Here is a 13,505-nt window from a genome sequence, read left to right as displayed (position 1 = left end):
CTCAACTGGCTGGGAGTCTGAACATGAAACACTTTTAGTTTTCCAATACGTACTCTCACCGCTTCTGTCAAATGCTCCTCTCTAGCTGGCTTTCAGTTTTCCTTAATAATATGTGTCTGAGTCCATCTCTTTAAGTCACTTCAATTTATCAAAACTATTTTGTATTAGCTCTTAAAGTATACTTTAGTGCTGTTTTGTTTCTAAACTTGAATCTCGTATTCATTTTAGGCTTTCTTAATTCACAAATCAGCACAGGCCAGAGGGGCCTAGGGTGGAGGCAAGATGGGATGCCTTCTTCCTTGTGCCTACTCCTTTGAGGTTGGGCAGGAGGAGGAAAGAGGAGACCAGATAATGTCAGCCTCCTTGGAGACTGTGACAAAGTTGTCCTGGTTTTCTGTCCTTTTTCACAGCTTCCCCATGCAGCCATGAGTGGCTTACAGTACCCTCTCTCTGTCAAGTGTCCAAATGTCAGCTAGCCCAGAGCCAAGGGGTGGGGTGGGTACAATGTTGGTTCTCCAGCATCACTGATGATCCAAGACTAGTTCTAATACCCAAGGTCTTAGAACCATTGTGTTAGTAGTCCCTCAAACCCACTCTGGATAGACTGACTTGGTTCTGAGTCCTCAGCCTTCACTAAAACTCCACTAACGTTGGCTTGAGGCAAATGGAATGGTGAGTGAATTTGTTGCATTCAGCATGGGTGATCAACGTAGTCAAGTATCTTCTGTAAATGCACTGGAGTGTCCATAAACCAGAGGATGGCACATAAGATTCACCTACTCAGGGAAAAATATTTCAGGGAGTGAAATACTGCTGTACTAAACTGAATTGTTTCAAGGAGGGGTTCTTAAGAAGAACCCTCTGTCATTGCTGCCCCTTTGTGTTGTTTCCCTATTGTAATACAGGAAACCATAGAGTCAGGAAGGAAGGAGAGACAAGGAGAGAAAGAGGGTGAAGATAGCAATTGGAGCATGAAAAATTGAAAAATAATACAGTGATTTTGACAGGGAATGTAAATGTATTATTGATACATTTCCTCTTTTACAACTAATACCAGGAAAAGTGAGGAAAAATTACGGGAAAAGCACATATATGAGTTGAGTTGGCCTGTGGTTCCAGCAATCTCTGCCCATCCATACGACAGATTTCAATGTGTGTTTGAACTCAATATCTAAGAATATATCTATAAAAGAGAATTTGCGGGAAGCCCAGGGAATGGAAAGCATTGCACTTGTTTTGCAGCGAGGAGACAACTGTTCCATCCTTGGGTCTGACCTCCTACTCCACAATTACACTGTATGCTACTTTGAATCATGTATATCACTTCTTTGTAATAACAGTAAATTAGATAGCTATTGCCACAATAATGCTGCATAGCAATCAGCTTCAACAATCCCAGCAGCAAAGATGTGCAGGTAGATGGGGATTGGCTGGGCTCAGCTTGGGACTTGGCTCTGCTCCTTGTGAATATCATCCTCCACTGGAGATCATCCTCCAGTTCAGGCCAGTCTTCTCATGCAGATGGCAGAGGTGCAAGAGGGCAAGACCAATAAAAGCACTTTCCAGGCCTTGGCTCATGAAATTCCCGCTAACTTTCCAATAACCAAAGCCACCCACAGGGATGAACCCAACTGTAAGGTGTGGGCGAAATACTCTACCTTTTTATTGGAAGAACTACAAAATTAGAGGGGAAGTGCATGAATGCAAACATGAGTGAAGAACTGGGGGTGTTAACGCAATCTGGAAAACATGGTAGCTGACATGGTAGGTGAGGTTAAATAGGAAATTAAAATGTATCCCCTAATCCTACCATCCATAGATGACCACTCTTAATATTTCAAGTGTATTATTCCAGTAGTTTTTCCTAGGGATATAAAAATTATTTTTTTCAAACTTGAAATCATACTAAAAATACAATTATGGGGTTTTTAAAAACTCATCAAATTATATTCAAAGACTTTTTCTGTCCTTGAATATGTAGACAATTGGCTTCTGTTGTCTATAAGTTAGTTAGTCCAGCATGAAGATATTTTATTTAAATATTCTGCTATTGTTGGACATTTAGTTTGTGGACACTATTTTCTGAACAAGTAGTGGGGATACCCTCTGATAATTAGAAGACATTTTTCTGAGCCATGGAGCATTTAGGAGTGTGCTGAGAGGACAGATTGTGCAGTAGGTTCAAAATCCAAGCCCGAAAAAAAAATTGTAATACACTTGTTGTAATGAACTCTCAGGAATCTGTTTCTTCTTCCTAAAAGGCATATCAGCCATCTCTTAGATTTTTCATAAGCTTTTTAATTTCTTTCATAGCGATGGGGTCTCATTATGTTGCCCAGGCAGGTCTCAAATTCCTGGGCTCAAGCGATTCTCCTGCCTGGCCACCCAAAGTGCTGGGATTACAGGCATGAGCCACTGAGCCTAGCCAGGAAGCTATATTTTTGACACAGGGAAACAACAAAAATTGTGATATTGCATACAAGATAACATATAATAACACACAATGCCAAAATATGTTAATCTAACTTTATAGTGCTTTGCTTTGTATGTATTGTCTTCCTAAGCAATAGAAAAGCACTAATAGTCAGAATTTTAATGTCTCAGTGATGTTTCAAAGGTTTTCTAATGACCGTGCCAGTTAATCAGGGGAAATGCAATGAATAGTTGGTCAATTATTTAGAAGTTGAGAGACTTCTTTTTTTAATTAAAAAAATAGCTATGGCCCTACTAACACAAAATCCCTCCCTCTACTGATTAGTTGAGTCATGTCTTTCAAAATTGAAATATGTCCTGGGAGGAGAATGTGTTAAGTCAATTATCAGTCATTTACAACTTACTATGATTATTAGGTCATTTCAAAATACAGCCAATACTGAAAAGGGGGAAACTGCATAAAATCATAAAGCCCAAAGGGCTCACTAAGTGTAGAGAGTAGGGCTTGAAACTAATTACTGACAAATTAGTTTTCATTCATATTGGATAATGAGTGAGAACATGGGAGCGAGTTCCTATACCTGCCGCTTCATGGGTCCTTGCTTTTATATTGTTATGGCTTGTGTGCATGCAGTTACTCATTCTCGTCACTAGATGGTGCTTTTGTGCATAATAGCTCGGCTTTGCAAACTTTGCTCCTTGATTTATTGGAAATGTAAGACGTACCCCCACCTTCTTAACTAATTACCTTTTTTGTTGTTGTTTACAAAAATTATAACTTTAGTTATGGAATATAAAATACTTTGTATAAAATATGTCGAAGCAATCGAAAAAAATTTCAAATATGAATCTAACCATGAAATTTGCCTCAGCCTTCTCTATAATATAGTATGAAAACGCTTTCAGAAAAAAAGGAGTCATTTGACTTCAACTCTCACTCTTCTGAATCAACAGATCATCTGCTTAAAACAGTGTAACATGTATGAAAGCACAGCTTAGTAAGGGTCTTGGCTGCAATTAAATACTGTATTAAAAATTTAGTTCTTTAGTTCTTTATAAGAAAGACTCGTGGGTTCCAATGTCACAGTGAAACTTCTTTTTTTTTTTTTTTGAAATGGAGTCTTACTTTTGTTGCCCAGGCTGGAGTGCAATGGCGCGATCTTGGCTCACCGCAACCTCCGCCTCCCAGGTTCAAGTGATTCTCCTGCCTCAGGCTCCAGAGTAACTGGGATTACAGGCATGCACCACCACGCCGGCTAATTTTGCATTTTTAGTAGAGAAAGGGTTTCTCCATGTGGGTCAGGCTGTTCTCGAACTCCCGACCTCTGGTGATCCGCCTGCCTCGGCCTCCTAAAGTGCTGGGATTACAGGCGTGAGCCACTGCACCCGGCCTCACAATGCAATTTCTTTACTGAAGATATGACTAATTTATTCTTCCTTTTTGCATCCCAGTTTTGGGGTACAATTATTTTAAAAAATGTTGGGCTCATGGTAAACATTTTTTTTTTTTTTTTTTTTTGAGATGGAATCTTGCTCTGTCACCCAGGCTGGAGTGCAGTGGTGTGATCTTGACTCACTGCAACCTTTGCCTCCTGGATTCAACCCATTCTCCCTTCTCAGCCTCCTGAGTAGCTGGGATTACAGGCTTGCACCACCATGCTGGCTAATTTTTCTATTTTTAGTAGAGACGGGGTTTCACCATATTGGCCAGGCTGGTCTCGAACTCCCGACCTCAAGTGATCCAGCCACCTCGGCCTTCCAAAGTGCTGCGATTATAGGAGTGAGCCACCATGCCCAGCCAACATCTCTAACTGAGCATTTTGCTCCTCTCATAAGTTCTACCCACCCTCCCCCTTTTCTTTACTTTTTTTTTTTTTTTAATATGGAATGCTTCACGACTGACTCTCCCCCTTTTCAAGAATACCAACAGACAAAGTTTTGATTGGGAACTCTTTGAAACTGTTAGGCAGTCCAACAATGAAAGCACAGTCATTTCTTTGCAGTGCTGATATTCAACTGTAACATGTTGTAATCAGCATTCATGTAGCTTTCCTCACATGGAAGCTAATAGCTTTCCAAGGATGCTGTATGTCCACAAACAAATAATTGTTTCTGTATGACTACAAAGCAAGTTGTGCTATCCTTTGAGTACTGAGGATTTGTGTGTCTTATTAGCTATCTGATGTCTTGTCTCCTGTATGTGACTGGAAACTCCTAGTTGGCAGAGTGTGTCATTTCCTATGTAACTATATGTTGATTCAATAAATATATGCCTGGCCACTATTGGCCAAATGAATAGAAATAAATGCTTACTGCTGCTCTTAGCATATTCATCAATAGACAGTATGTCATATATAATTGCCTCACCCAGAAAAAGAAGAAAATGTTGCTCATTCCTTACCTCCTCATGGTGGTTCTAATGTTCTTCCAGGCTTTCATTAGCCATGAGGATTCATCCTATGGATTGGAAGCTATACTAGATGACTAGAAACATATTTCTTCCAATTTTAGAATTCCATGATCCTATGAAAATCAAGTTTTAAGAAATTATGATGTTGGGAGCTCCATTGGTATTCTTGAATGAATGAAGTCAATTGATAGTATTTCCAAGTATTTTGCATTATATATGAAGGTGTCACTGAACAGTGCCAAAAATATCCGTTAATCCAATCAATTAGGTCAAATAAAGAATAAATTCAGTAGGATACAAATGGAAAAGGAGGAAAGAGAAATCAGTTAAGAATTTTACATCAGTGTAGTTCTATGGAGTATTTAATGTAATTAGCACATGGTAGAATATAATATGTTTAATTTCCAACATGATATATTGGTGTAGTATAGACCTAACAACTTTCATGGTCTAAGCGCAGATTCTATTATTTAAAAGCATATCCCTGTCTACATTACTTGGTAATTTGCTTTTCTTTCTGATATTCATTATACTTGCCAAAACCAAAATTGCCATAATTGCAAGAAGAATAATATTACTACTGCTTTTGATAATTTCATATAATAACAAGAAGTTAAATAGCTGTAGTTATTTATGTACAAGAAAGTACACATTCTTATATTTCTTCCATGTAAGTAAGAATATTCAGTCAAGGCAGAATTATACAATTTGCATTTTTAAAAAATTGAAGCTGTTCATTTGAAATTCCTCAAACTCATATCATGCCTTCCTTTCTGCACTTCTGAGTTTCTCCTTGCCTCTCTTGACTTTCACTGCTCAGAGAGGCTCCACCTTCCCATAGTAGACTCTCTTCCTTCCTGTTTTCTTCTGCCCTAACCTTATCAGTTATTCCCTCTCTCAGCTGTATCTTTGACCTCTCCTCTTTATTTTTCCTGTTTCAGATAAGCAATATCAGGTTTCCCTACTCTTAAAAATAACAATCACCTTCGTTAAACCTATATCCTCCTCTACGTACTAGTCCATCTATTTCTTCCACTTTACAGCCAATCTTCTGGACATAGATGACACTTGTCACCTCTTCTTCATATTTCATTCATTCTCTGAATCCACTGCAACCTGATGTCCACCTATACTACTCTCCTGAAATCATCCCCGTCAAGGTCAGTGGTGACCTGCTAAGTCACGAACTGATTCAACTCTTTTTTGTTCTTATCTTAACCTGGTTGACAATGCATCCGAAACTCTCTTATCGCCTGGTTTCACAGTTAGCAGTCTCAGCTAATACATGAATCTGGCCACTGTACACACATGCATGCACACCACACATACACACAATTTTACTTATAAGAAGATAAATTATTTTTCGAGTATAAAATAATACAAAGTATAATCGAACAAACACACGCAAAACTCAGAATAGCTGTTACTATTGTATCATATTTGCTATTAATCTCTTTGCCCTAAGTATATATTTAGAAAAATTACATAAGCAATATAATCCTATATTTCCCTTAAAGACCTACAAAAATATTACATTTCAGAAAAAGCTGAAGCCACTTTTATTCACCACTTTATTCAGTTCTATTTCCCTCTCTGCCCCCTCTCCTCACACAAACATTATGTGAGACTGGTGCATAACCTTCCACTTCACTTTAAATTTTTACTTACACACACAGGTAGTCACACGTTATTTAGGTCTGTGTGCATTTTCTAAATCTATATAAATTTAGATAATTTAAATAATTCCATAATTGAAACTTCACGTTTCTTGCTTTTTTCATTTAACATTTTTATTTTAAGTCAATCTACATTGATATATATAAAGATCAAATTCATGCCATTTAATTGTGGTAATACATTCATTCTGTGGCACTGCTGCATTTTATATATGCAATCCTTTAATAGTGACTGTTTAGACTGTTTCTAGTACTTCTATAGCAAAAAAGGCTGAAACAAATCTTTGTGTCTTACATGCACATGTGGAAGTTTTTCTCAGGTGTACATACTGGACTGGGCCTGACATTGCTGGCCTTCTCCCCCACCTACAGATTTGCCTCAATTAGGTGTTTTGGGTTCCATTGCCAAAGTTGTGTTTCTATCATAAAACCCTAACCATGTGACTTTCCTTCTTAAAATCTTCAACTGACTCCTCATTCACTTCTAAATAATTGGCACAGTCCTTGGGGTGTTTTATAAGGTCTTTTTTTCATCGGGCTTCTGCATACCTGCCTAGGTTACTTTCTCACTCCCTTAACCTACACTCTAGTCTGATTGAGCTACTCTCAGTATTTCTGCATTTTCTGAGTACAACACCTTGGTTTCTTTTTCCCTGCGTGTGCACGTGGGTGCCCTAGGTTTTGAATACTCATCCCCCACAATCTTTGCCTGCTAGCTTCTTCTCATGCTTCAAAATTCAACTCAGATGCCAACCCCTTTGGGGATCCTACTTTTTCTCCTTCTAGGATAATTTAGATATTCAAAACAAACAAAACAGGCATCTTCTAATAATTACCTGCCAAGATTAACTAGTCAATATTGTCTTCCCCTATGTCCATACAGGAGGATAAAGAACCTACAAGATGTTCTGTCCATAACAGGTAGCAGGTCAGGCATAAATGCCCTGGAATAAATCCATGGTCAGTTTCCTTTTTTTCACTGAGAACACTGGAATTAGAAGCAAAATGCATACAACTGCTATTTGAGGCCAAATTAAAGTGGGATAGATGCACTCCACTATTTTAAGAGAACATTGTTTTACCTTCTTACCTGTTATGTGACTGCATCCTGCCCTTTCCTTCCTCTCTTCTCTCACATATGCAATGATGACTTCTAATGACACAACTCAAAAAGTCCTTTCCTCAGTGGGGCTGCTTTACTATTGAAACAGGTGCACCTTGCTTCACCCAATCTCCATGAACAAAGGACACAAAAGACTCATTTGGGCCAAAATGATTTCACAGATTCTGGACTTCGCTGCATCTTATTTATGAAAGAGTTTCCTCCTGCAGATGTGAACTGTGTAAATAGTCAGAACTGATCGATTCCTCCACAGATAAGTGCATTTCATGCATAATCAAGAAAAATTATCTCTTGAAATATGGGAATAGGAGTGCAGTCTTGATCTACTGTGAGGATAGCCAAGCATCAAGCTCCATAAGGATTGCATTTCCGAAGCCTGCAGTGAGAGTTTCTGACTATGGGGGAAAACGAAGGAAGAAGAAAAGTTTGCTTACTAATCACATTGAGAGCAGTTTCCATGGTAAATAAGTAAAAAGCTTCCCTTTTTCTTCCATACTATTCAATTACTTTCAACAAGAAACTGTAATGAGTGACTATGTGCCTGGCACTGTTCTAGGCACAACTATTACAGAAATAAGGGAGTGAGGGTGGGGTGGAGGCAAGAAAATCACAGTCCGGGGGAGGATACATAGACTTAAACAAATAATTAAACCAAGTGTGATAGATGCTGGAATGATGGCAGGGCATAAAATTTGAAAGCATAAAGAAAAGTTTCCATTACTGGACATAAATGCAAAGGAAAATAAGTTGTCCTACCAAAAACGCACATGCGCCCCTATGTTCATTGCAGCAGCATTCACATTAGCAAAGGCAAGGAATCAATGCAGGAGCCCATCAACTCTGGATTGGATAAAGATGTGATACGTATCCAGCATGGAATACTCTGCAGCCACGAAAAACAACAAAATCATATCCTTTGTAGCAAAATGGTTCCAGATAGAGGCCATGATCCTAAGTGAACCGATACAAGAATAGAAAACCAAATACCACGTGTCCTCAGTTATGATTAGGAACTAAGCATAAAGTACACGTGGACATAAGGATGAGAATAGATGCTGGGGAATACAAGAGTAGGGAGGGAAGAAGTGGGCAAGGGCTGAAAAACTACCTACTGGGTACTATGCTCACTACCTGGGAGATGGATTCATTTGTACTCCAAACCTCAGCATCACACAATATTCCTTTAAACATGCACATGTACCCCCTGAAGCTATAATAAAAGTTGAAAAAAAACCCAAAATTGAGATGAAGTTAAAAAATAAAAGAAATGAAAAGAAAACATTCCTGAGACTTGAGTGACTGGAGAACAAGCCAGGAAAGGGAGGAAAGCAGGGCACTTAATATACAAGGTGGCTTGTAAGGCATAATAAGTTGCTCAATAAACCAGATTTGTCATCAGTAGCAGACTTCTATATGAGAGACATAGGGACCTGGAGAGGGGATTGGAAATAATGCCCACCACTGTCCACCAGTCTCTCAAGGGGTATATCTTCCTAGTCAAGGAGCACAACACTATGCAAGATGCTATACTATGACAGCTGCCACCATGCCACATTCTGAGGCTAGAGAGCAAAGCAGAATCCTCATGTGAAAATAGAATTTCCTCTGGGGCTGGCCAGCCTGTGAACTTCAGCCTTCAATTTCTTTGTGATTCCCTAAACCTGGCCAGCAGCTTTCACATGTCACCTTGGGCATAACCTTCCAAAGGTACAACTACACACAAGCACTGACCGACCCTGGGACTTGTGAGAGTATATTTTGCTCCTGGGCAGAGAGGAACAGCTCCTAAGCATGTGGAAACTTTCCCCAGTTTCACTCCTGCTTTCCTTCAGCATCAGCTCCCATTCTCTGCCATGCACTCTGCAGCCGGCCCGGATTCTCACGGTACCTTGGGATTTACCCTGCTTTCCTACGATGCCTTAACTTGCACATTTTATTCCATATGCCTGTAATACCCTTTCTTTCATTTTGCAACTGGGGAAAATCTACACATCTTTCAAAGTTCAGATAACTTATCTGAGTCTTCTTTAATCAGAATGAGTCACTTCCTCCTCTGTGCATTTATAACTCCTAATATATCACTTTGCTACACTGTTTTATAATACTAGCTTCACATATTGAATCCCAAACATTGCCAAAAGCTCCCTCTCCACCTGATGCTGCTTCTGTTCTTTATTCTTGCAAATAGCACCTCCACCTGTCTGAGGCAGACATTGAACATCACCCTCTACCTGATTTTTAAGGGGTTATCAAACCTAATTAATTTTACTTTCTAAATATCTCTTACATTTGTATCTCTCTTTTTGCTTCATCACTACCCTAGGTTATTATTTCTTCCTTCTACTGTTGCTTTTGTTTTTTAACTAAGCTATCCACCTCCGGACTCCAATTCCTCCTGCCTTTGGGGAGGCACTATAGCAAGGGTAATTGCACGGACTCTCCTGCCTGATTACCTTGATTTGGATCTCAGTGTTGCTACTTAGTGTGCATGTAGCTTAGTAAAAGAAGACATGCTAGTATTCACCTCTTAGTTTGCTGTGAAAATGAAAAGCAGTAACATATGTAATATGCCCGGAATAATACCAGGCACAGAATAAGGACTTTTTGAAGGTCAGTAATTTTCATTATTCTTCCAGCACCTGTGCTACCTTGAGAATGATTTTCAAGTCTACTTTTTTGCAAATCTGATAGCATCCCTCCCCTGGAAAAATGCTTCTGAGACTTCCTGTGGTCTTTGGAATTTAGTGAGGTTTGTATGACCCTACATGACCTGCTCTGCACCCGCCCCCACCCCGTGCCAGCCTTCTCTCTCCTACTTTCACAACACCCTGTGCTACAGATGAGGAGCCACCAGCTCTTCCCTTGCTGCCTACTCTTCAGCCTCTTTTTCTGGTGAGTTATCCCCCTAGAGGACATTTACCCTCCATCCACTTGACTGATTCTAGTTTATTCTTCAAAATCTGTTCCTAAGTCCAATTCACTATCTGAGGAGCCCAGGAAAACAAACAAACAAAAATAGATTTCAAACATGCTAACAAATATATTTGAATTTAAAATTGTATGTAACATTATTTGTAGGTTATAAGACAGGATGGTTATTGGGGCTTTTTTTTTCCCATTGTTGGCATCATCCTGTCAAAGTTTCCTCTGAACTGACCACCAAATAGCTCTATGACCTATGCTTTCTTTCGGTTTTGAATATTTAGAATAATATCTTTGTTGAATGATATTTCAACAAATTTTTATTTTGTGAAATAAGATTATTTCACCTCAAGATTATTCAACATTCATGAAAATTGTACAAATTCAATCAATTTGGATTAAGTAGGGATTAAAGAAATTTGGGGTTGTGATGGTTTTAATGATTAACATTAATTCAACATATTAACATCCCTTCTCTCCTGCTCCTGAGAACACACAAAAATGAGAGAGATTAAAAAACAAAAAACAAAACAAAACCTCTGTCCTTAAATTGCCAAGGCTGATAAGGAGATGGGCACATTAAGCCACAGCCTGAAGGGAGTGATGAATATTTCAATAGTACACAGCCTGATATGGGAACAGACAGCGGGAAGGCATTAACTCTGCATACAGGTGAAGGTGAAACCCAGGTAGATCAGGGAAGAATAAGCAAGACTTTTTTTGTGTATCAGTTGAAGGAAGTGCTCCAGGACAGCACAGGCATGAGGCATGGAGAGCCATGGACCACAGCACAAGAGGTTGGGAATTGTTGGAGACAAGAATAGACATAGGAGAGTGACAGGAAGTAATTCTGGAGAATGTGTGGAAGCCAGAGAGTGAAGCGTCATGCATGCCATGTTAAAAAATCTAAACATTATCCTGTAGGTGAAAGTATTCCATTGAAAGGTTTAAAAACATGTAACATGGTCATATTTATGTTTTCAAAAGAACAACTTGATGCTGATGGGTTTAGGTGCCAGAAATGTCATCGTCTCAAGGCAAGGAGACCAATCCACAGGTTACTGTAATAGTCCAGGCAGGAAGGGAGTTGGTGAGGCAACCACATAGCAGAATGCGCTTTATAAGTTCAAGTCATTTCACGGAGAGACTCCCCTCTTTGTAGAATGGTGTGTGACCCCATCTATAAGTCTAAAAGAAAGAGTAATATGACTTTTGATGTGTATTTCAAGAATGTCCTATTTATTTCTAGTATGTTCTAAGTATTTCTATAATTAACTATTTCTGTAGCATCATAGTTCTGAAATTAGATTATAATACTTGACATCCTTATTGTTCAGCTCTAATGTTGTATTAAAGTATAGGACTGAGGTTTTTGGATTAGCCACAGATACAGATAGATCCCTGGCACAAATGGACAGTCACAACTTCTAAGATTCTATAATGGAAGAGGAATTCTAGAGAGGCAGCTTCTTTGGCCTTTGTATGTATTAGTAGTAGAAGCAAAGCAGTAGAATGAAAAGTGAAGGACTTTGAGAGGCTTTCTTGCATGGAACAGACCAGGGAGGAGTTACAAATAGTACATTGGAACTTGTGAGTATAAACTTACTAGTAGGTTCTTTGAATTTGTTAAGTCAAATTGGCTCTTAATTGACAGCACTGCCATGTTAAATGGAGACATTTTCAGGTGGAGGCTTGATGGTAGCGGAGTATATATACCCTGCTGGGGCTCAGGTAGACTTATCTGGTTTCTCCAGCGGAATACGTTCGGGATTAAATCTCCTCCTTAGCCCTCTGAAGCGTGTAAACAATGCCCTAAGTGCGCTGAGGTCAGACCACTTCTGCTGAACTAAAAACACTTCTTAAAACTATTCAGCTAAGTAATCCGTCAGTTTTCCTTAATTTTCTCAAACCTGGGCCCTATCTCTTCTTTTTCTATGTGCTCTGCCACTAATCTTGGGTAATATTGCTTAAATAAGCGAGCTTCCTTCCGTGTTTAACTATCTCAGGATAATAGTCCTTTTTAAAAAATTAAGTAGTAGTTTAATTTTGACTTGGACAATGTAACATCTTAGGCTATTTAACCTGTGTATCTCAGTCTATTTACCCTGTATAATGGGTGATATTTTTATTGTCTTCATAGTTAGGTATGAAATATTTGTTATATATGCATTTTAAAACTTTCACAGAAGCCAAATTATTTACACCTAAAAATTAAGAAGGACTCAGTATTTGAAGCCGCATTTAGCTTAGTATATGTAGCTACTGGGCAGCTATAATAAACTTAATATAGGAAGGCAGAACTTGGTCACTGTATGTATTCATTCATTCCCACATTGCTATAAATAAATACTTGAGATTGGGTAATTTATAAAGAAAAGAGGCTTAGTTCGCTCACAGTTCTGCAGCTATACAGGAAGCACGACAGCATCTGCTTCTGGGGAGGCCTCAGGGAACTTTTACTCGTGGCAGAAGGCATGGTGGGAGCAGGCTTCTTCCATGGCAGGAGCAGGACTGAGAGAGCCTGGGGGGAGGTGCCACACACTTTTCAACAACCAGATCTCACGAGAACTCACCATCGAGAGGACAGCACCAAGGGGGATGGTGTTAAACCACGAGAAACACCCCCCATGATCGAATCACCTCCCACCAGGCCCTACCTCCAACAATTGGGGATTACAATTGACCATGAGATTGAGGTGCGGACACAGATCCAAACCATATCACTGTATATAAATATGCATTTTAAGCAACTAGGATAACAGTTTTTAGGACATACAGTGTCGTCTATTTATATATTTCAAAAAGCATGTTTAATAACCAAAGCTTATTTTATGTCTATGAGACTAGCCAGTAGTGACACTTGAAGTACGCAGGGAAAAAGTCTTCCTCATTTTTGAGCGTTGGGGTCTAAAGTTTTACCCTAAAATTTGCACCTGCCTAA

General features: G+C 39.1%; 1 long non-coding RNA gene across 2 annotated transcripts in view; it reads right to left on the bottom strand.

The window, feature by feature from the left end:
* Positions 1–13,505, bottom strand: part of MSC-AS1 (MSC antisense RNA 1) — a 213,190-nt gene that overhangs the window by 77,819 nt on the left and 121,866 nt on the right. Inside the window, exon 4 of one of the 2 annotated variants that reach the window (NR_033652.1) lies at positions 12,960–13,085. The exons of the other annotated variant lie outside the window; for it this stretch is intronic. This is a non-coding gene — a long non-coding RNA (MSC antisense RNA 1). The remainder of the gene's footprint in view (positions 1–12,959; positions 13,086–13,505) is intronic. 2 annotated transcript variants of the gene reach the window in all.

The sequence above is a fragment of the Homo sapiens genome, chromosome 8, assembly GCF_000001405.40.
Source record: "Homo sapiens chromosome 8, GRCh38.p14 Primary Assembly".
In the NCBI taxonomy this organism is placed as follows: domain Eukaryota; kingdom Metazoa; phylum Chordata; class Mammalia; order Primates; family Hominidae; genus Homo; species Homo sapiens.
Note: the sequence above shows the minus strand (reverse complement) of the source record. Positions and strands in the feature narration are given on the sequence as shown.